General features: G+C 40.9%; 1 protein-coding gene across 1 annotated transcript, besides 1 other annotated feature; it reads right to left on the bottom strand.

Annotated features, from left to right (window-relative positions):
• Positions 1–702: 702 nt before the first annotated feature.
• On the bottom strand, positions 703–1,656 carry OR52M1 (olfactory receptor family 52 subfamily M member 1). The gene has a single exon (NM_001004137.1). The coding sequence runs from the start codon at positions 1,654–1,656 to the stop codon at positions 703–705; it is 954 nt and encodes a 317-aa protein (NP_001004137.1).
• Positions 22,958–23,458: an enhancer, noted in NCBI's record as "NANOG-H3K4me1 hESC enhancer chr11:4544619-4545119 (GRCh37/hg19 assembly coordinates)". NCBI's record gives its function as "activates a minimal SCP1, AML or CMV promoter by ChIP-STARR-seq in primed H9 embryonic stem cells {active_cell/tissue: H9 hESC(primed)}" and the evidence as "EXISTENCE:reporter gene assay evidence [ECO:0000049][PMID:30033119]".

Raw genomic sequence — 24,526 nt, 5'->3', positions numbered from 1 at the left:
CAATATTGAGACATGGTAACCTTGTCTCATTTTCCTTCATTGACCTGACAATTTTTTTTCAGGCCACATTCTCTTTCATAAGTATCCCCAAATCTTCTGGGCACATACAAGTGAGTCTTCTAGAACACATTTTTACAGGCAGTTTGAACAGCATCTCAATTAAGAGAGGCTTAACTCAGGAAGGTGTCACCTTGCAGCTAAGGAAACTTCAATTAAATGACTTAGTTTTTTAAATTTACCTTTTAAAGGATATACAGAAAACAAAGAATAGAAAGTATTAATACATAACTTTACAATGTATTACAAATTCCAACCAAATGTGGAGCTAGGCAGCTTAAGTAACTGTATGTAGTTCATAAAGCAAGGGTGTTCTGTCCTATTTCCTCATAAAATATAAACAATAATACCTCATGTCAGGATATTTTCAAGAATTACATGAACAATGCTAAATATTAGCAGCTTGTCGTTATCACGGTTGGTTTACCTTCTTTGTAGCTCAAATATCCTTTAGTTGTAAGTTTTGTATTTTCCACCTTTTAGGACTTAGAGTTGTATACTTTCTTAGAATTCCTTTGGAACTACAAAAGTTGGAGAGCACAGTGCCTAATACTTCAAACTGCTTGTAAAGTTCCTAATGGGAAGCAGCCTACCATATTTAAACACCTTCTCCATGAGCTTATTTGAGAGAGAAGAAAATAGTAATCATCTAATCTTCATTTCTATCCTTGGTATTTGGAGAAGGCTCTCTCGGATCTGCTTGGTGCGAACAGCATAGACAATGGGATTGAGGATTGGAGGAATGAGGAGATAGAAGTTGGCCAGCAGAGTGTGGACTGGAGGAGGCACACACTGACCAAATCGGTGAATCAGGGAAGAAACAGCAATGGGAACATAAAAGATCAGGATGGCACAGAGGTGAGAAGCGCATGTCCCCAGGGTTTTAAGCCTAGCCTCAGGAGTGGCTAACCCCATCACGGCCCTGAAAATCATCACATAGGATGCAGCAATAGCCACTGAGTCCAGGATCAACACCAGAAAGCCGATGCTCAGCCCATAGACATTATTGACCCTGCTGTCGCCACATGTCAAGGCAACTACAGCCATGTGCTCACAGTAGGAGTGGGAGATAACATGGGTTTTATAAAGGGGCAGCCGCAGGCGGATCATCAGAGGCAGAGGTCCAATGTAGAGAACACCCCGGAGGAGAGAAACAAGCCCCAAACGACCCACCACTGTATAAGTGAGCACCATGCTATGACGTAGTGGGTTGCAGATGGCCACGTAGCGATCAAAAGCCATGGCAAGGAAGATGCCTGACTCAACAGTGGCAAAGCAGTGGATAAGGAACATTTGGCCCAAGCAGGCGTCCAGGCCAATGTCACAAGCACCGAACCAGAAGATTCCCAGAAGTTTGGGTATAGTGGAAGTAGACAGAACCAGGTCAATGGCAGCCAACATGCACAAGAAAAAGTACATGGGCTGGTGCAGGCTGCGTTCTATCTTTACCACAGCCAGGATGGTCACATTCCCCACCACAGCCACCAGGTACATGGAGCCAAAGGGGATGGAGAGCCAGACGTGTAGGGACTCCAGCCCTGGGATGCCAGTGAGCCAGAAGGAGCTGGGTACTGAGCAGACATTATGAAAAGTGAGCATGGCTATTTATATGTGAACCTTCTCACTTGTACCACTAAACGCAGCAGGATGTTTTTCCTGGAAATAAAAGACAATATTTTACTCTAAGTTCCTATAATAATAGGGTCACTGACTAGATGTTAGATAAGTCATCTTTAGAAGAAATTCTAGAACGTCAGTGTCACATTATACTAAAATGTTCGCAAAATCTTAGAAAGTACAAGCCAAAACACTCATTTGAATGAAATACATCTTTTTGCAGTATGACCTTCGAGGAGTGATATTCTTGCATCAGTGAATGAACTGACCTAAAGCAAATAACTATCTGGTCATTTACCACTGCAGGTAGGCTATGAGGTGGTGCTTGAGATCATGTTGGAAGGTTTTAGAGTGTACAGCTACTTGAAAGAAAAGGAGATGCACTGAAGTGTCAGAGGGTCAGAGACACCTGGGACTATCTAGGCTCTATGGTAAACCAAAGCTTAAGCCTGGGACCAGAATTGACTACTGGATGAGCTGAAATGTCTAATTTGCAGGCCAAAATCACAAGGCAGAGACTTGGGGTGGTAAAGATGACACCTTCCAGAGGGTATAGAAACAAAGTGATTTCTGAAAGATGAAAGCTGACCAAAGCTCAGTTTATGCGTATTTGATACCCAAAGGCAAAGCCTGGCAAGGGCCTCCTCCCTTCATGAAGACTGAATATGAAGAAAAGGCTCCAGAAACAGAGGGTTATCAGCAGGGAGGAAGAAGACATTCAGTGCAGAGTAGCATGAAGCCTAAGACAAATGTTTGGCCATGAAACACCCTTACTTGAAGTCCAGAGCAACTCACTAAAAAGATGTCAATTTAAAGCAAATACATGAAAACAATGTGTTGTCTGATTTTTTTTTTTTAAATCTTTGTCTAAAAGACTATACCAGAATGTGTTCCTTATATATCAGAGGAATACGAAAGGTGAGGAGCGTGTAAGAAGTTTAATGCAGTACATCTTAAGCCTAGTTAGGTTGATTACAGAATAGTCAGCAATCTGGGCTTAGGACTTTTCTAGATCTGTCTTCAGATCTTGGCAGTGAGAGCTTAGGTGAACTGCTTTATCCCATTAGTGAAATACAACTAACTACACTTTGCAACAAACTTAAAGCCATGGCCTAGAGAAGTTGTCATGACTAAATGAAAATGCAGGGCCTGACAGTAACACTAAGCATTAGTTCTTTATTCTGTTGAGACTAACATGCAAAGCCAAAAATGTTCAAACTTCAAAAGACTCTGGAATGTCTATCTCCAGGAAGCTGTGGTGCTTGGGAGGGTGACTGCTGTAAGTCTGACATTATCCCATAAAACCTCTCCATAAGCTGGGCTCACCTTCAGATTCTCAAAGATTATGACAAGTAGACATAATGTTGGCAATAACTGCAAAATAGGGAAAATAAAAAGGCTGAGTCATTGGGGCTGGGAAGGAAAGGAGTACACAGGAAGTGGCCTGTGAAGTCATCAGGTAGAATGGAGTGATGGATTTAGTTGGAAGGAGGTGGCTTGGCTTCCTTAACCTATATTCTGGTTGTTCTTCACTTGCACTCTCCATTTGCATAGATCCCTGTTCTATGTCTCAGATGCTATATTTTACTCATGGGCTGTATCACCCAGATTCCCTTGTCCTCTATTTTCCAGGTGGGCTCAGTCAATGTGAGGCACTAACAGGAGATATGAGGGTAAAACCAGAGATTAGAGACCTACTCTCTAGTTCCCTTCCTACCAGCTATGTTTGGCAGTGTCTTGGTCTTCTACCAAAGGCCCCAGCTCCTGAAGTGACCCTTTGTGTTTTCTGGTAACCATGCCCTGCTTTGCCCGGTCAGTTCTAGGCTAAGTTGTGCTGCTTACTGTTAGTCCCAGTGCCTCCCCATCCCTTGTCAAGTTCCTTAACTCTTGTCAAGCCTCTGCAGATAGTCCCTTCAACTGCCCCTTTGACTATGCCACTTGTTATTTCATGAATATATCAGACCAGATCCCAACAGTATATAATCTTTACCCAGTATTATCTCTTGACAAGAAGATTGCTTCCTCAGTAGGACACAGAATCTGAAAGTTGACAAGTCACAGAACTAATCCTAAAGGCAAAAGAGCTATAAACTCATGACAATCGGGGGCTAGATAATCTTTCCTCTGATATTTAGATTTACAATAAAGGGAGACTTTTCTATTTTACTTGTATGTCTAATCAAATGGCTTTTATAGCTTGAATATGTCCTACTAAGCAAAGCTGTAATGTGGAAAAGTTTTGTTCTACTCCAGAAATGTAGAGTTCTTGAATGGAAAAATTAACAGGACTCAACCAAGTGGATTTTTCTGTTGCCAAGATTCCTAAGTACAGCTATTACCCCTCCTATATTAGTGAGAAAGCTGTTTCAGGGTCCATCTTTCCTTCTAATGCAATTTGAATCCCTTCACTTTTTCCCTGGCAAATGGCTCCCTTCTAGATTTGTGCAGAGATCATGTTATAGGAGGAACTTACAGGCACAAATCACAGATGAGACCAAGTGTGAACTGGTCTCATCTGTGATCTGAATTGCTTGGTGAATTGTGGACACAAGAGGAAGTGACTTTTCATGAAATCCAATAGGTGTCTCTGGTATCACAGACCTTGTTCCAGCCATGTCAGATGTCCCCTCTGGACTGACCTGGAACTCTGGAGAAGGTAGAATTTATCTTCTCTCGCTTTCCTTCCTCATACCTGACAACATACAGGGCTGTTTCTTGATGGATACCCCCATTTCATCTCTTCCTATTCATTTCTGGGAACATGTTGTGAAACTGAAGAGCATATCCTTGACTAGAGAGATGCACTTCAGCTACTACATGGGGAGGACCGACTCTTGGGATAAGTTTTTGACCCCTGTCTTTTCCCCTAAGATCCTAACACTGAGAGTAGCTCTTTAATTCATACCTCATTTGTCAGGAGCAGTTCTCATACCTTAAATACAGTAGTCTACTGCAGCTTCTGTGCAAGGATGCTATGAGCATAAGCATTCTGCAAAGCAACCTCTCATCTGAGTGATCCATCCAAACACATCCACCATAACCTGCCATGGCTTTTACCATTCCTCATCCTGCTTACTACCGTCCAGTGAGACTGCATTTGTGTTTCCCAACTGCAACATGTCCTTTTGCTTCTGAGAAGAATACATGTTCTTTCCTGATACTGAAATGACGTTCTTCCTTCCTCTCTCGCCTAGTGAATCCTTACATGTTCACCTTGCCATAGCTTAGATATCCACTTTAATGAACCTTGCCTTGATTCTTGGTTCCACGCCCTATTTCTGTACTGTCTGAATAGTTCTCTGAATTGTCTTCTGATGTATCTTTCCCCAAACAGAATAAGTTCTAATAGAGTGGTGATCTTGCCTGTCTTACTAGAAGTCATGTGCTAGCACAGTACCTGGCTCTGTTGAATAAGAATAAAATAAAATAAAATTTAAAGAACATGGTGATGTATTCAAAGGTCTTGTATTGTCATTAGTGAACTAGAGGCTTCATCAGTCTCCTTGTTTGTGGCTCTGTGGGAACTCTACCCATTCTAAATCCCCTTCCCAGAGAATGCCTTTCCTGAGTCTTGCCTTAGACTTAAAGGAGTATGAGCTAAGTTGACTGCCCAAGGTCTATTCATTCTTAAGCTGGGAACTCCTCCCTATGACCCCTATTCTTTTTCTATATCATTCTTTGTAAGATGTTCTTACCTGGGCTGGGTCATGTCAGTAAGAGCCTGGGGCTCTACAAATGCCTCAGAGACCTTGCACTTATAAGCATTCTGCTCAGGTGTCTAGGGAATTCCATCTGGGATCTGAGCCCTCCCCACTTTCCTCAATATAGAAAGTTAATAGCAGGCTTTGTCCTAGAAGGATGAGCACAGAATCTAAACTTAAGATACAGCTGTTCCTGGCATGCCAGGGTTGGTCCAGAAGGAAGGAACAGACCCATTAACTGAGACATAATCCCTTGTATCCAAGTCCCCTTGTTTCTTGCATCTGGCCTTCCTAGTATCTGCAGCTATTCTAGGGACACCAAGTAGAAATCAAAGACCTTCCCAGGGTGGGGACGAGTTTCCTGGGACTCAGGCTGAACTCCAGTCCCCTATCTGTCTAAAGTCTAATCTCTTCACAGTATTAGGGGGTGATGGTAGGGTCCTAAATTATTTAAGACAACTGAATAGCAACTCTTCAAAATTAGATACTGAAGAGATTTTTCCCCCACTCCAGTTTATATTGTGGAAAGGACTCTCCTTGTGGGTGGAATGGTAGATCTCCTTCACATCTTTTTGAATGAAACCTTCTCTAACATCCGTTTTCTCAGTGAAAAACTGAAGAAGCAGTTTTTTTCTTCAAGTGTTCCAATAGGATGTTCATGGGTTGGAGCGTCACACTTCAGGATGTGTGACAAGGCATGGCCTCTGAAGCTTCAAAGGCTTGAGTTTGCAAAGCTAGCCCAGTTACATACTCACTATGTGACCTCAAGCAAGTTACATCATTTCCAGTTCTTCAAGCATAAATTGAATAATCTGTTTGGATAGTAGTTATAACTTGGATATTGCATATGAAGGGCCTAGTAAGACAAACATGACAAATGCTTAAACAGCATTATCAACATTACTGCTGTCCCTGTGTCTTCAGGAAGGGCTAGCTCTAAGCCTGGGAGATACAACCTGACCTTCTCTTTCAGGCTAGGAGCTAATATAGTCAGGGAAGGGGGCTAATGCAGTAGAATCATTATGTGAAGGATCTCATTTTCACTTCCACTCCCCTTTCAGAGGGTTCTAACTCTATAGAACCTCGGGAGAAGCTGGGAACTTCCAGAAGCTTGCAACCTGCTCCCCAAGCTTACATTTTACATTCTGTGTGAAATTGCTGGTAGTGGCCAAAATATACAGGATCCTTCTATCCTGCATGTATGCTGTACCCTTAGTCCTACTTTTTTATTTGGCTGTCAGTCTATACAGATTCATATCTAGATTTTGAAATTCATATCCAGATTCATATCTAGCATTTACCACCTCCAGTGGATAAACTCTGCTTTGACAAACTTAGTATCTGTCTATTCTGTATCTGGATGCCTTGTACAACATTTGAAAACTAAAAGTAGCCAATAAACCAACGTACTTGTTGAATTATCCTTAAGGTTACAGTAAGTCCTCATCCCTTAATTTGATGCACAAACTTTCAAAACCTCATTGTTCCAACTTAAGGGAGATATGCCTCAGATGTGCAGGAAAAAGTGTTACCTTTCACTATAGGAAAATATCTTAAGTTACACAGAAGAGATACATATTCAGTCTTGGAAACAGATCTGAATCAGAAGCAAACATTGACATTCTAACACTGTCCCCATTCTAACACTGTCCAGGAGAGGGCACCCTGGCCCCCAAATGAGATTATGCCACTGGCTGACGGGGCTCTGCAACACAAACATAGAGCTTGGTGTCGTTAAATATCTTAAACCTTCATTTGAATGCAACTACTCAGATTTTCCCATTCAATCCTATTTTATAGCTAGGTCTCCCATATGTGGGTCAATCAAAGATGAAAAGTCAGACCAACACAATACCAACAACAACAAGTTGAATATTGAATATTGGACTCTCAGTCTATAACTTTATCAGTTCAGTGTTATAATTTCTCTGAAATAAACATTGTTCATGTTCAATTCTAGAATAAAATTCTAAACTTGTTAGCCCAGATGCTTAATTGGAGTACATGGAGATATAAATACCAACTGAGGGACTTATATACATCTCTGAAGCCTGCGAATTTCCCTCAAATGGGAATACTGATGCTATAATAGGGAAAGCATTTTTCTTAAAGCCACCTTCCCAGCCTCACAAGAAGTACATCCAGGATTCTGGCTCTGAGATCAAACTTGAGCTCATTCTTGTCCATGACAGAAGTGGTATACTGCCATGGTTGAGTATAGACCACAGCCCCAGTGCCAGTTCTGACACTTACAAGATTTGTCTTTGACCAAGTTATGCCTAAATCTTTAGACTTCCTTTTTCACCCCGATCTCCATTCCTAAGTCTCATTTATTTTATTTCAATAATTTTTGGAAAGCGGGGGGTTTTGGTTACATGGGTTAGTGGTGATTTCTGAGACTTGGTGCACCTGTCACCTAAGCAGTAAATGCTGGACCCAGTGTGTAGCCTTCTATTCCTCACTCCCTCCCATCCTTCCTCACGGAGTCCCCAAAGTCCATTATATCATCCTTATGACTTTGCATCCTCATAGCTTAGCTCCCACTTATAAGTGAGGACATACAATATTTGGTTTTTCATTCCTGAATTACTGTCACTGAGAACAAGGGTCTCCAACTTTATTCAGGTTGCTGCAAATGCCATTATTTCACTCCTTTTTCTGGCTGAGTTGTATCCCATATTATGTATGTATACGCACCAATTTTCTCTATCTACTTGTTGGCTGATGGACATGTAGGCTGGTCCCACATTTTTGCAATTGTGAATTGGGCTGCTATAAACGTATATACAAATGTCTTCTTTATGTAATGTCTGATTGCTTTTGTGAGTTTACCTTCTGCAGGAACAACCCTATGAGAGAACAACTGTTTTTGAAACAGGGCCTCACTTTGCTGCCCAGGCTGGAGTGCAGCAGCACGAACATAGCTCACCACAGCCCCAACCTCCTGGGCTGAAGCTCATCCTCCTAAGCAGCTGGGACCAGAGGAACATGCCACCACACCCAGCTAATTTTTAATGAGATGTGAACTTCTTTAATCTCCACTTCTCAGATCAGAGATGTGAAGTACAGTCTAAGCAATTTGCCTAAGATTTCCACAGTGGTTAAAAGCAAAAGTTTTGGGTTTGTGTGCCCTAGGTTCAAATTCTACATCTTCCTTACATTGCGTGTACTGTGTTCTCAACTTTCTGGAACTCTTCCATAAATACTTATAAAATGTCAAACATTCCAAAACTACAACAGTGGGGGAAGGGGGAGCTTTTTAATCAAGAACAGTACTTACTCTTAGCCCTCAATGGTGGTCAATCTCTGTCTCATGCACCTCAATACAAAACAGATAAGTTTGGGGTTACTTATTACTGTTTCCAGAGTTTTGTTCTTCCATCTTTTGTCAAAAGCTCATGACCATATGGCATTAGCTGCAAATGTCACCCTTTTATTCCTCCTTACTTAAAGACATGTTGAAACTTATGGAAGAACATCATTGAGGATTTTTCTACCTGGATAAGCTTTCTACTTCATCCCAGTTTCTGGTATCCATGGAGAAGACTTAGACTCTGCAGACAAACCGTTCAACTCCATAACTGACTTCTGAACCTCCTCAGTCCCACTTTCATTTTTTTAAATTATACTTTAAGTTCTAGGGTACATGTGCACAACATGTAGGTTTGTTACATATGTATACATGTGCTGTGTTCGTTTGCTGCACCCGTTAACTCGTCATTTACATTAGGTATTTCTCCTAATGCTATCCCTCCCTCATCCCCCCACCCAACAGGCCCCGGAGTGTGATGTTCCCCACACTGTGTCCAAGTGTTCTCATTGTTCAGTTCCCACCCATGAGTGAGAACATGCAGTGTTTGATTTTCTGTCCTTGCAATAGTTTGCTCAGAATGATGGTTTCCAGCTTTATCCATGTCCCTACAAAGGACATGAACTCATCCTTTTTTATGACTGCATAGTATTCCATGGTGTATATGTGCCACATTTTCTTAATCCAGTCTATCATTGATGGACATCTGGGTTGGTTCCAAGTCTTTGCTATTGTGAATAGTGCCACAATAAACATACGTGTGCATGTGTCTTTATAGTAGCATGATTTATAATCCTTTGGGCATATACCCACTCATAGGATTGCTGGGTCAGATGGTATTTCTAGTTTTAGATCCCTGAGGAATCACCACACTGTCTTCCATAATGGCTGAACTAGTTTACACTCCCACCAACAGTGTAAAAGTGTTACCATTTCTCCACATCCTATCACCTGTTGTTTCCTAACTTTTTAATGATCACCATTGTAACTGGTGTGAGATGATATCTCATTGTGGTTTTGATTTGCATTTATCTGATGACCAATTGTTTTCATGTGTCTGTTGGCTACATAAATGTTGTCTTTTGAGAAGTGTCTGTTCATATCCTTTGTCCACTTGTTGATGAGGTTGTTTGATTTTTTTTTTTTGTATATTTAAGTTCTTTGTAGATTCTGGATATTAGCCCTTTGTCAGACGGGTAGATGGCAAAAGTTTTCTCCCATTCTGTAGGTTGCCTGTTCACTGAGATGGTAGTTTCTTTTGCTGTGCAGAAGCACTTTAGTTTAATTAGATACCATTTGTCCATTTTGGCTTTTGTTGCCATTGCTTTTGGTGTTTTAGTCATGAAGTCTTTGCCCATACCTATGTCCTGAATGGTATTGCCTAGGTTTTCCTCTAGGGGTTTTTATGGTTTTTATGGTTTTAATCCATCTTGAATTGTTGTGTAAGTTGTAAGGAAAGGATCCAGTTTCAGCTTTCTACATATGGCTAGCCCATTTTCCTGGCACCATTTATTAAATAGGGAATCCTTTCCCCATTGCTTGTTTTTGTCAGGTTTGTCAAAGATCAGATGGTTGTAGATATGTGGTGTTATTTCTGAGGGCTCTGTTCTGTTCCATTGGTCTAGATCTCTGTTTTGGTACCAGTACCATGCTGTTTTGGTTACTGTAGCCTTGTAGTATAGCTTGAAGTCAGGTAGCCTGATGCCTCCAACTTTCTTTTTGCTTAGGATTATCTTGGCAATGCAGGCTCTTTTTTGGTTCCATATGAACTTTAAAGTAGTTTTTTCCAATTCTGCAAAGAAAGTCAGTGGTAGCTTCATGGGGATGGCATTGAATCTGTAAATTACCTTGGGCAGTGTGGCCATTTTCACGATATTGATTCTTCCTATCCATGAGCATGGAATGTTCTTCCATTTGTTTGTATCCTCTTTTATTTCACTGAGCAGTAGGTTATAGTTCTCCTTGAAGAGGTCCTTCACATCCCTTGTAAGTTGGATTCCTAGGTATTTTATTCTCTTTGAAGCAATTGTGAATGGGAGTTCACTCGTGATTTGGCTCTGTTTGTCTCTTATTGGTGAATAGGAATGCTTGTGTTTTTGCACATTGATTTTGTATCCTGAGACTTTGCTGAAGTTGCCTATCAGCTTAAGGAGATTTTGGGCTGAGATGATGGGGTTTTCTCAATATACAATCGTGTCATCTGCAAACTGGGACAATTTGACTTCCTCTTTTCCTACTTGAATACCCTTTATTTCCTTCTCCTGCCTGATTTCCCTGGCCAGAACTTCCAACACTATGTTGAAATAGGAGTGGTGAGAGAAGGTATCCCTGTCTTGTGCCAGTTTTCAAAGGGAATGCTTCCAGTTTTTGCCCACTCAGTATGATACTGGCTGTGGGTTTGTCATAAACAGCTTATTTTGAGACACATTCCATCAATACCTAGTTTATTGAGAGTTTTTAGCATGAAGGACTGTTGCAGAAAAGGCCTTTGACAAAATTCATCTATTGAGATAATCATGTGGTTTTTGTCTTTGGTTCTGTTTATGTGATGGATTACATTTATTGACTTGCATATGTTGAACCAACCCTGCATCCCAGGGATGAAGCCCACTTGATCATGGTGGATAAGCTTTTTGATGTGCTGCTGGATTCGGTTTGCCAGTATTTTATTGAGGATTTTCACATCGATGTTCATCAGGGATATTGGTCTAAAATTCTTCCTTTTGTTGTGTCTCTGCCAGTCTTTGGTATCAGGATGATGCTAGCCTCATAAAATGAGTTAGGGAGGATTCCCTCTCTATCGATTGGAATAGTTTTAAAAGGAATGGAACCAGCTCCTCTTTGTACCTCTGGTAGAATTTGGCTGTGAATCCAACTGGTCCTGGACTTCTTTTGGTTGGTAGGCTATTAATTATTGCCTCAATTTCAGAGCCCATTACTGTTCTTTTCAGGGATTCAACTTCTTCCTGTTTAGTCTTGGGAGGGAGTATGTGTCCAGGAATTTATTCATTTCTTCTAGATTTTCTAGTTTATTTGCATAGAGGCATTTATAGTATTCTGTGATGGTAGTTTACATTTCTGTGGGATTGGTGGTGATATCTCCTTTACCATTTTTTATTGTGTCTATTTGATTTTTGTCTTTTTTTTTTTTTTTTTTTTTTTTTTTTTTTTTTTTTTTTTTTGACAGAGTCTCGCTCTGTCCCCCAGGCTGGAGTGCAGTGGCACTATCTTGGCTCACTGCAAGCTTCACCTCCCAGGTTCATGCCATTTTCCTGTCTCAGCCTCCCGAGTAACTGGGACTACAGGCGCCCGCCACCATGCCTGCCTAATTTTTTCATATTTTTGATAGAGACACGGTTTCACTGTGTTAGCCAGGATGGTCTTGATCTCCTGACCTGGTGATCCGCCCGCCTCGGCCTCCCAAAGTGCTGGGATTACAAGCGTGAGCTATCGCGCCCCGCATCTTTTTTTTTTTTTTTCTTTATTAGTCTTGCTAGCGGTCTATCAATTTTGTTGATCTTTTAAAGAAAAAACAGCTCCTGGATTCATTGACTTTTTTTTTTTTAAGGGTTTTTTGTGTCTCTATCTCCTTCAGTTCTGCTCTGGTCTTAGCTATTTCTCGTCTTCTGCTAGCTTTTGAATTTGTTTGCTCTTCTCTAGTTTTTAATTGTGATGGTAGGGTGTCGATTTTAGATCTTTCTTGCTTTCTCTTGTGGGCATTTAGTGCTATAAATTACCCTCTACACATGGCTTTAAATGTATCCCAGAGATTCTGGTTCATTGTGTCTTCATTCTCATTGGTTTCAAAGAACATCTTTATTTCTGCCTTCATTTTGTTGTGTACCCAGTAGTCATTCAGGAGCAGGTTGTTCAGTTTCCATGTAGTTGAGCCGTTGTGAGTGAGTTTTTTAATGCTGAGTTCTAATTTGATTGCACTGTGGTCTGAGAGCCAGTTTGTTGTGATTTCTGTTTTTACATTTGCTGAGGAGTGCTTTACTTCCAACTATGTGGTCAATTTTGGAATAAGTGCGATGTGGTGCTGAGAATAATGTATAGTCTGTTGATTTGGGGTGGAGAGTTCTGTAGATGTCTAGGAGGTCTGCTTGGTCCAGAGCTGAGTTCAAGTCCTGGATATCCTTGTTAAACTTCTGTCTCATTGATCTGTCTAATATTGACAGTGGGGTGTTAAAGTCTCCCATTATTATTGTGTGGGAGTCTGTCTTTGTAGGTCTCTCAGGACTTGTTTTATGAATATGGGTGCTTCTGTATTGGGTGCATATATATTTAGGATAGTTAGCTCTTGTTGAATTGATCCCTTTACCATTATGTAATGGCCTTCTTTGTCTCTTTTGATCTTTGTTGGTTTAAAGTCCGCTTTATCAGAGACTAGGATTGCAACCCCTGCTTTTGTTTTCCATTTGCTTGGTAGATCTTCCTCTATCCCTTTATTTTGAGTCTTTGTGTGTCTTTGCACATAAGATGGGTCTCCTGAATACAGTACACTGATGGGTCTTGACTCTATCCAATTTGCCACTCTGTGTATTTTAATTGGGACATTTAGCCTGTTTACATTTAAGGTTAATACTGTTATGTGTGAATCTGATCCTGTCATTATGATGTTAGCTGGTTATTTGCCCGTTATTTGACTCAGTATCTTCCTAGCGTCGATGGTCTTTACAATTTGTCATGTTTTTGCAGTGGCTGGTACCGGTTGTTCCTTTCCATGTTCATTGCTTCCTTCAGGAGCTCTTGTAAGGCAGGCCTGGTGGTGTCAAAATCCCTCAGCATTTGCTTGTCTGTAAAGGATTGTATTTCTCCTTCACTTATGAAGCTTAGTTTGGCTGGATATGAAATTCTGGGTTGAAAATTATTTTAAGAATGTTGAATATTGGCCCCCACTCTCTTCTGGCTTGTAGGGTTTCTGCTGAGAGATCAGCTGTTAGTCTGATGGGTTCCCCTTTGTGAGTAACCTGACCTTTCTTTCTGGCTGCCTCTAGCATTTTTTCCTTCATTTCAACCTTGGTGAATCTGACAATTAGGTGTCTTGGGGCTGTTCTTCTCGAGGAGTATCTTTTGTGGTGGTCTCTGTATTTCCTGAATTTGAATGTTGGCCTGCCTTGCCAGGTTGGGAAAGTTCTCCTGGATATCCTGAAGAGTGTTTTCCAGCTTGGTTCCATTCTCCCCATCACTTTCAGGTACACCAATCAAATGTAGATTTGGTCTTTTCACATAGTCCCATATTTCTTGGAGGCTTTGTTCCTTTCTTTTTACTCTTTTTTTCTCTAAACTTCTCTTGCATCATTTCATTCATTTGATCTTCAATCACTGATACCCTTTCTTCTACTTGATCAAATTGGCTACTGAAATTGTGACTGCATCACGTAGTTCTCTTGCATGGTTTTCAGCTCCATCAGGTCATTTAAGGTCTTCTCTACACTGTTTATTCTAGTTAGCCATTCGTCTAATCTTTTTTCAAGGTCTTAGCTTCCTTGCGATGGGTTTGAACATCCTCCTTTAGCTCAGAGAAGTTTGTTATTACCGACTTTCTGAAGCCTACTTCTGTCAACTCATCAGTCATTCTCCATCCTGCTTTGTTCCATTGCTGGCAAGGCGCTGTGATCTTTTGGAGGAGAAGGGGTGCTCTGGTTTTTAGAATTTTCAGCTTTTCTGCTCTGGTTTCTCCCCATGTTTGTGGTTTTATCTACCTTTGTTCTTTGGTGACCTACAGATGGGGTTTTGGTGTGGATGTCCTTTTTGTTGATGTTGATGCTATTCCTTTCTGTTTGTTAGTTTTCTTTCTAACTGTCAGGTCCCTCAGCTGCAGGTCTGTTGGAGTTTGCTGGAGGTCCACTCCAGATGCTGTTTGCCTGGGTATCATCAGTGGAGGCTGCAGAACAGCAAATGCTGCAGAACAGCAAATGCTGCAGAACAGCAAATATTGCAGCCTGATCCTTCCTCTGGAAGCTTTGTCTCAGAGGGGCACCCAGCTGTATGAGATGTCAGTTGGCCCCTACTGGGAAGTATCTCCAAGTTAGGCTATGCAAGGGTCAGGGACCCACTTGCGGAGGCAGTCTATCCGTTCTCAGAGCTCAAATACCATGCTGGGAGAACCACTGCTCTCTTCAGAGCTGTCAGACAGGGACGTTTAAGTCTGCAGGATTTTCTGCTGCCTTTTGTTCAGCTATGCCCTGCCCCCAGAGGTGGAGTGTACAGAAGCAGGCAGGCTGCTTTGAGCTGTAGTGGGCTCTATCCAGTTGGAGCTTCCCGGCAGCTTTGTTTACCTATTCAAGCCTCAGCAATGGTGGACGCCCCTCCCCCAGCCAGGCTTGCCGCCTCACAGTTGAATCTCAGACTAGCAGCGAGCAAGGCTCCGTAGGCGTGGGTCCTGCTGAGCCAGGCACGGGTTATAATCTCCTGGTCTGCCGTTTGCTAAGACTGTTGGAAAAGCACAGTGTTTAGGTGGCAGTGCCCGGATTTCCCTGTACAATCTGTCACTGCTTCCCTTGGTGCTAGGAAAGGGAAATCCCCTGACCCCTTGCACTTCCCAGGTGAGGTGATGCCCTGCCCTGCTTCAGCTCACCCTCCGTGGGCTGTACCCACTGTCCAACCAGTCCCGGTGAGATGAACCAGATACCTCAGTTGGAAATGCAGAAATCACCCATCGTCCGCACTCATCACTCTGGGAGCTGCAGACCGGAGCTGTTCCTATTTAGCCATCTTGGAATGCTCCTCCCCACTTTCATTTTCATTTTGGTTTAGTGACCCCTATGAAATTCAGGGTAAATATAAAATTTTACCATCTGAACAGGAAGTTTTTATCCATATTTTAAGTTTTAAAACATGTTCTGATACATAATGAAATTATTACTGCAGCCAAATGAACAATATATCATCTCACAGAATTACCTGTCCTTGTGGTAAGAATGCCAAAAATCTACTCTTAGAAAATTAGTAAATATTTCATTATACAAATACAGGCCTCGTGTTATACAAAAGCTCTCTAGGCTTATTCATCCTTTATAGCAGCAACTTTGTACCCTTGACCTACATCTCCCTGTTTCTTCTCCTTCGCTGCTCTGGGTAACTAGTTCTACACTCCATTTCTGTCTTTGACATTTTCTAAATTTCACATATATTTCTGTGTCTGACTTATTTCACTTACATGAACTTGAGGGACATCATGCTACCATCACAAATGGCAGTATCTAATAATGCTACAACTTCTCTAGCCATTCATCTGTCAATTGACACATAGGTTTATTCCATGTCTTGGCTATTGTGAATAGCAAGTTTATGAACATGGAAGTGTGCTTATCTCTGCAAGGTGCTGATTTCATGCCCTTTGAGTAAATACCAAGTAGAGGGATTCCTGGGTCTTATGTTCTGTAAACTACATGGACGTTCCTCAAGAGGTTTTCTATAATGGCTGATATGGTTTGGATTTGGCCAAATCTCATGTCAAATTGGAGGAGGGGCCTGCTGGGAGGTGATTGCATCATGGGGGCTGATTTCCCCCCACCCCCCTCCCGCAATGTTCTTGTGATAGTGAGTACTCAAAAGATTTGGTGGCTTAAAAGTGTGTGGCACTTTTGCCTTCACACTCTTTCCTGCCGTGTGAAGAAAGTGCTTGCTTTCCCTTTGCCTTCCACCATGATTGTAACTTTCCTATGGCCTCCCAGTCATGCTTCCTGTTAAATCTGTGAGACTGAGTCAAATCTCTTCTTAAATTACCCGGTCTCAGATAGCACTTTATAGCAGTGTGTAAGGACAGACTGATAGAATGGTCAATACCAATTTGCATTTCATCAACAGCATATAAGGGCTTTCTTTTCTCCTTTACATGGCCTACAGAAAGACTTAGACAACCATGAAACAATAGTCGGAGATTTCAACACCCCACCAATAGCATTAGACAGATCATTGAGGCAGAAACTAACAAACTCTGGACTTAAACTCAGCACTCAGCCAACTGGACCTAATAGACATCTACAGAATACCCCATAACCATAGAATATGTTCTTCTCATCTTCACATGGACCATATTGAGATTAACCACATGCTTGGTCATGAAGCAAGTCTCAAATTCAAAAAAATGAAATCATACCAAGCACACCGTTGGATCACAGGTCAATAAAAATGGAAACCAATATCAAGAACCCTCAACTACACAAATGCGTGGAAACTAAACAACTTACTCCTCAATAACTCCTAAGCAAACATCTAAATTAAGGCAGAAACTTAAAATTCTTTGAAATTAACAAAGATGGGGATACAGCTTACCAAAATCTCTAAGATGCAGCCAAAGCAGTGTTAAGAGAAAAGTTTATAGCCCTAAATACCTTCAAGAAGTTGCAAAGGGCTCAAACTGACAATCTAACTTTGTACTTAAAAAGGACTAGAAAAAAAAATTCCCGGTGCTAGCAGAAGAAAAACATTAGAGAAGAACCTAATGAAATTGAGATATAAAAAAATCCAAACAAAAGATCAATAAACCCAAGAATTCTTTGGGGGAAGAAAACACAACTAATGGACCCTTAGCTAGATTAAGAGATCCAAATATGCATAATCAAATAACAAAGATAATATTACAACTGATCCCACAGAAATACAGAAGATCCCCAGAGACTACTATGAATGTCTTCAGGCACACAAATTAGAAAATTCATAGTGAATCAAGAGATTGAAACCCTGAAAAGACCAGTATCAAACTTCAGAAATTGAATCAGTAGTAGAGAAGTTGTTAATCAATGTTAATGTCCACAATATGATTTATGGCCCAAACTGTGGTCTACTTGGTGAATATTCTATTAGAGCTTAAAGAATGTGTATTCTTCTGTTTAAATATATTATATGCATTTTGATTGAATACTGTTGGTTAAAATATGTTCAGTGTTAACTATGGCTTTTCTATTTTTTTCCCCACACACTTATCTGCTGGATGCATTACTGAGGGAGAAAGGTATTAATCTCAACCTTTAATAATGGATTTACCTATTTCAGTTCAGTTTTTTGCCTCACATATCTTGATCTATTGTGGGTTCATACACATTAAAAATTTGTCTTTTCATAGACTTGACCTCATTATCATACATTCCTTTTTATGCCTGATATTTATTTCTCTGGAGTTTGCTTTGACTTGAGTTAATATAGCTATTCCAGATTGATTCTTTTAATTTTTTAATTTTTAATTTTTGTGAGTACATAGTAGGGTACATATTTTAATAAGGTAAATAAGATGTTTTAATACAGACATGCAATACGTAATACATCATGGAGAATGGGGTATCCAATGCCTCAAGCATTTATCCTTTGTGTTAAACAATTCAATTAGTTACTTTAAAATGTACTATTATTGTTAACTAGTCACCCTGTTGTGCTATTAAATAATGTATTTTATTCATCCTATTTTTTTTACCCATTCGCCATCCCCACCTTCATCCTACCCCTGCTGTAACCTTCCCAATCCCACAGATAATTAAGAACATACAATATCTGTCTTTCTGTGCCTGTCCTCTTTCACCATAGATGGAATTTCCATTTCCATCTATGTTGTTGCAAGTAACAGGATTCCTACACACAATGGAGCACTATTCATTTATATGTGCCACACTTACTTTATTCATCTGTTGATGGACACTTAGGTTGCTTCTGAATCTTCACTATTGTGAATAGTGCTTCAAGAAACATGGGAATAAAAAAGACGTCTTCAATATACTGATATCCTTTCTTTTGGATATTGTATTAGTCTGTTTTCACACTACTATAAAGAATAGCTGAGACTGGTTAATTTATAAAGGAAAGAAGTTTAATTGATTAAAAGTTCTGCCTGGCTGGGGGAGGTCTCAGGAAACTTATGGCAGAAGGCATGGGGAAAGCAGGCATCTTCTTCACAAAGCAGCAGAAGAGATAGCAAGCAGGGGGAATTGCCAAACACTCTTAAACCATCAGATTTCATGAGAACTCTCTCACTATCATGAGAACAGCATGAGGGAAACTGCCCTCATGATCCGATTGCCTCGCACTAGATCCCTTCCTCAACATGTGGGGATTACAAATTGAGATGAGATGTGGGTGGGGACACAGCAAAATTACATCAGCTATATACCCAGCAGTGGATTGCTGGACCATATGGTAGCCCTATTTTTAGTTTTTTGAAGAACCTCCAAACTATTCTCTAGAGTGGTTGTACTAATTTACATTCCCATCAACAGTGAATGAGGGTTCCCTTTTCTCCACATCCTCACCAGCATTTGTTATTGCCTGTCTTTTTTATGTAAGGTATTTTAACTGGGGTGAGATGACATCCCTTTATAGTTTTGATTTTCATTTCTCTGATCAATAATGTTTAGTGCCTTTTCATGCCTGTTTGCCATTTGTATGTCATCTTTTGAGAAAGGTCTATTCAAATCTTTTGCCCTTTTTTGGTTCAGGTTATTAGATTTTATTTCCTATAGAGTTTGAGCTCCTTATCTATTCTGGCTATTAATCAGATGCATCATTTGACTTTTTTAAAGTTTTTCATCTTTTTTGATGTGTGCAGTTACAGCTATAAACTTCCCTCATGCTGCCTTCACTGTATCCTGTGAATTTTGGCACGTTGTTTCTATTTGTTTCAAGAAATTTTTCAATTTAATTTTGTCATTGACCACTGGTCATTCAGAAGCATATTGTTAAATTTCCCTGTAGTTGTATAGTTTCTAAAATTCTTCTTGTTATTAACTTCTAGTTTTAGTTCACAGCTGCCAGAAGATGCTTGACATTTGCATTAGTCAGGGTTCTCTAGAGAGACAGAACTAATAGGATAATTGTCTATATGAAGGGGAGTCTATTAAGGAGTATTGACTCACATGATCCCAAGGTGAAATCCCACAATATACTGTCTGCAAGCTGAGGAGCAAGGAAACCAGTCCAAGTCCCCAAACCTCAAAAGTAGGGGAGGTGACAATGTACCCTTCAGTCTGTGGCTGAAGGTCCCTAGTAAATCACTGGTGTAAGTCCAAGAGTCCAAAAGCTGAAGAACTTGGAGTCTGGTGTTTGAGGGCAGAAAGAAGCACAGGAGAAAGATGATGTCTGGAAGACTCAGCAAGTCTGTTTTATTCTAGCCACACTGGCAGTTGATTAGATGGTGCCAACTCACATTAAGAGTGGGTCTGCCTTTCCAAGTCCACTGATTCAAATGTTAATCTCCCTTAGCAATGCCCTCAGACACACCCAGGAACAATACTTTGCATCCTTCAATCCAATCAAGTTGACACTTGTTAACTATCACAACATTATTTCAACTTTCTTGAATGTGTTAGCACCTGTTTTGTAACCTAACATATGGTCTCTCCTTGAGAATAATCCATGTGCTGAGGAAAAGAATGTGTATTTTGTAGTCATTGCACAAAACGTTCTCTAAATGTTATCTATTAGAACATATGGTAGGTCCATTTGGTCTATAGTGCCAATCAAGTCCAGTGTTTCTTTTTCTGTCTGGAGGATCTGTCCAATGCTGAAAGTGGGGTGTTGAAGGTCTCCAGCTATTATTGTATTGGGGCCTATATCTCTTTAGCTCTAATATTTGCTCTACGTATCTGAGTCCTTCAGTGTTGGCTGCATATATATTTAAAATTGTTATAACCTCTTGCACAACTGACCTCATTATATAGCAACCTTTGCTTCTTACAGTTTTTGTCTTAATCTACTTTGTCTAACTATCCCCACTCTTTTTGGTGTCTATTGGCATGAAATATTTCTCTTCATCTCTGTATTTTCAGTCTGTCTTTATAAAGCATTTCTTCTAGGCAACAGATCAATCTTGTTTTTTTCATCCATTCGGACACTCTTTTGACTAGAGTTTAGTCCATTTATCTTTAATGCTATTGATAAGTAAGGACTTAACTCCTACCATCTTGCTGTTTTCTTGTTTTACAGTCTTCTCTTCCTCCTTTTTTTCCTGTCTCACTTTACTGAAGCTATTTTTTTTTTTTTTATGTGGAGTCTCACTCTGTCGCCCCAGGCTGGAGTGCAGTGGCATGATCTTGGCTCACTGCAAACTCTGTCTTCCAGGTTCAAGCAATTCTCCCACCTCAGCCTCCCAAGTATCTGGGATTACAGGTGCCCACCACCATGCCCGGCTACTTTTTGTATTTTTACTAGACATAGGGTTTCACCATGTAGGCCAGGCTGGTCTAGAACCCCTGACCTCGGGTGATCCACCCAACTTGGCCTCCCAAAGTGCTGGGATTACAGCCATGAGCTACCATGCCCAGCCAGTAATTTTTTCCTCTGGTAATATGATTTAGTTTAGTGCTTTTTGTGTTTCTATTGTAGGATTTTGGTTTGAAGGTACCATGAGGCTTGTAAATACTATCTTTACAACCCATTTTTTATGCCAATGATATCTTAATCCTGTTCACATAAATAAGAAAAACTAAAACTTTGTTCTTCTATTAGTCTGTTCTCACACTGCTAATAAAGACATACCTAAGACTGGGTAACTTATAGGGGAAGAAAAGGTTTAATGGACTTACAGTTTCACGTAGTTGTGGAAGTCTCACAATCATGATGGAAGGCAAAGAAGGAGCAAAGGCCCATCTTACATGGCAGCAGGCAAGAGAGCATGTGCAGGAGAACTGCCCTTTATAAAACCATCAAATCTCATGAGACATTCACTATCACAAGAACAGCATGGGAAAAACTCACCCACCCCCATGATTTAATTACCTCCCACAACATATGGGGATTATGGGAGCTACAATTGAAGATGAGATTTGGGTGGAGACACAGCCAGACCATGTCATCTGCTCAATTTTTATTTTTTTATTTCTATCTTATTGTACTATTTCTTAAAGATATGTTATTTTTGATCACATTTTAGTCCTTCTACTTAGGATAAGAGTAGTCTCCACATCAGTTAGTGTAATAATATTCTGTTTTTCTGTGTATTTACTATTACCAGTGAGTTTTGTACCTTCAGATAATTTCTTCTTGCTCATTAACATCTTTCCTTTCTGATTGAAGGATTCTTCTAGCATTCTTGTAAGACAAGTCTAGTGTTGATGAAATCCCTCAGCTTTTGTTTGGGAAAACCTTTCTCTTCTTGACATGTGAAGGATATTTTTGCTGAATATATTATTCTGGAATAAGTCTTTTCCCTTCAGCTCTTTAAACATGTTATGCCACTCTTTGTCTGTATGGTTTCCACTAAAAAGTCTGCTGCCAGATGCATGAAAGCTCCATTGTATACTTTCTCTTCTGCCTTTAGAATCCTTGTTTGATCCCTGATCTTTATCAAAGATAATAAATGCCTAATAATGGGATTTTGATCATTAAATGCCTTGAGGGTAGTCATGCTTGGGTTAAATGTGCTTGGTGTTCTTTAACCTTGTACTTGGATGTTGATAGCTTTCTCTAGGTTTGGGAAGTTCTGTTATTTCTTTGGACAAACTTTTTACCCCTATTTCTTTCTCTACCTCCTCTTTAAGGCCAATAGTTCTGTTTTCCATTTTGAGGCTATTTTTTAGATCCTATAGACCTGCTTTATTTTATTTTTTCTCCTTTGACTGTATTTTCAAATAGCCTTTCTTCAAGCTCACTAATTCTTCTGTTTGATCCATTCTGCTATTAAGACTGCATTCTTCAGTAGGCTAATCACATTTTTTCAGCTCCAGAATTTCTTCTTGATTCTTATTTCAATCTTTTTAATTTATCAAACTCTGAATTTTGTTGTCATTGGGAATTTGAGTTTCTTGAGCACAGCTATTATGAATTGTCTGAAAGGTCACATATGTTTCTCCAGGATTGGTCTCTGGTGCCTTATTTAGTTCATTTGGTGAGGTCATGTTTTCCTGAATGATATTGGTGCTAATATCTATTAGATATCTGGGCATTGAACAGTTAGGTATTTGTTGTCTTCACTGTCTGGGCTCGTTTGTGCCCATACTTCTTGGAAAGGCTTTCTAGATATTCAGAAGGATCTGGGTGTTGTGATCTAAGTGGTATCTGCTTTAGGGGTCATCCTAAGCCTAGTATGGCTGTGGTTCTTAAAGACCCATAGAGATATCACCTTGATGGGCTTGGAAAAGATCCAGGAGAATTCTCTTAATTACCAGGTAGACTGTCATCTCTTCTTTCTCCCAAATAGTCTGTTTTTTGGTTTTTGTTTCTTTTGTTTTTTTGACACTCCTGCTCTGTCACCCAGGCCGGAGTGCAGTGGTGTGATCTCAGCTCACTACAACCTCTGCCTTTTCTGAGCCAAGTAAAGCTTGGGGTTGAGTGACACAAGCATTCCTGTGTCTACCACAACTATGAGAACTGAAGCCAGTACAGCACTGGGTCTTGCCCAAGGCCTGCTATAACTACTCCTTGGCTACTACCTATGTTTGTTTAAGGTCCTGGGCCTCTACAGTTGGTTGGTAAAGCAGCAGACTTGTCTCCTTCCCTTCAGGGAAGCAAGATGCCCTGGGTGGGTCCAGAGGTACTGTCCAAAAGTCAGGGACTAGAGTCAAAAACCTTAGTCTACCCGGTATTCTAATTGTACTGCAACCTAGCTGGCACCAAAAACAGAAGATGCAGTCCTTCCCACCTTTCTCTCCCCTTTCCAAAGGCAGACGAGCCTCACTTCATGGCTACCACCACCTTAGGCCCGTGGAAAGTGCTGTCAGACCACTACCAAGGTCTGCTTTAGGACCCAGGGCTTTTAAGTCAGCTTGTGGTGAAAGCTGCCTGGCCTGGGACTCGCTCTTCAGGGCAGTGGGCTCCCCTCTGGCCCAGGACAGGTCCAGAAATGTCATCTCCATCAAGTCCTGAAATTGGGGACCCCAAGAGCCTACTTTGTACTCTACCCCCTCCCACCATGTCTGAGCTGGCACGCTTTACTTTACCTTCTGCTTTTCTCAAATGGGAGTTTTGCCCCATAGCTACCACAGCTGGTAATGGGCTGAGTCTTACCTGAAGGCAGCATGTCTGAGGTTCAAAGTCCCTTGACATAGTACCTGGGTATTGCTGCTGTTTATTCAGGGCCCAAGGGATCTTCAGTTAGCAGGTGATAAATGCTGCCAGGACTGGTTCCTTTAAGGTAGCATGTTCCCTTCTGGCCGAGGGTGTATCTAAAAATGTCATCCAGGAGCTAAGGCCTTATGACTCTGACCAGTACCCTATTCTACTGTGGCTGAGCTGGTATCCAAAATGCAAAACAGTCCTCCCCACCCTTTTTTCTTTCCTCTCCAAACAGAAAGAAGTGGTCTGTTGTCGCTGTGAGCTGTGCAGCCTGGGAGAGAGGAGTGATGCAAGCACTGTTAGCAACCCCGGCTTGTGTCTCAGTAGGTCATGTTCTCCCCACCGTCTACTCTCTCCAGGCCGGGTTCCACACTAGCGCTCATCTTACAGTTGCAGTTCCCATGGCCTAGACTGCCTTTCAAGTTTAGATTCCCAGAGCACTTTAGCCCTTAGTGGCGAGATTTGCATGAACTCATGTTCTAACTGTTGGGATTGGTGATTCTCCTCTGTCTAGGGATGGTTTAAGTGTTTCCTCTGTGGGTGGGCACCAACTGAGTCTGGGACGATTGTCCTGTCTGCTCTAACAGGATGGCACTTAGTTCATTGCCTCACAATTGAGTTCTCCCTCCCCCAGCACCTGGAGATGCTCACCACACTGCCACTGCCAGAGGAAGTTGGGGGTGGCTTCAGCACTTCAAGACTTTTTTTCTACCTCTTTAGTCCTTCTTTCAGTGCACAAAGTTAAAACCAGGTACTATGAGTGCTCACTTGACTTTTTTTTTTTTTTTTTTTTGTTATTATGAAGGTGCTTTTTGTGTGTATAGATAGTTGTTAAATTGGTGTCCTTGTGGTAGGGACT

Source organism: Homo sapiens, chromosome 11 (assembly GCF_000001405.40).
Source record: "Homo sapiens chromosome 11, GRCh38.p14 Primary Assembly".
Classification (NCBI taxonomy): Eukaryota; Metazoa; Chordata; class Mammalia; order Primates; family Hominidae; genus Homo; species Homo sapiens.
This window is presented reverse-complemented; position numbering and strand designations above follow the sequence as displayed.

Excerpts from the sequence above, each read along its gene's own strand:
- OR52M1 (NM_001004137.1), bottom strand. The coding sequence starts at position 1,656 with ATGCTCACTTTTCATAATGTCTGCTCAGTACCCAGCTCCTTCTGGCTC.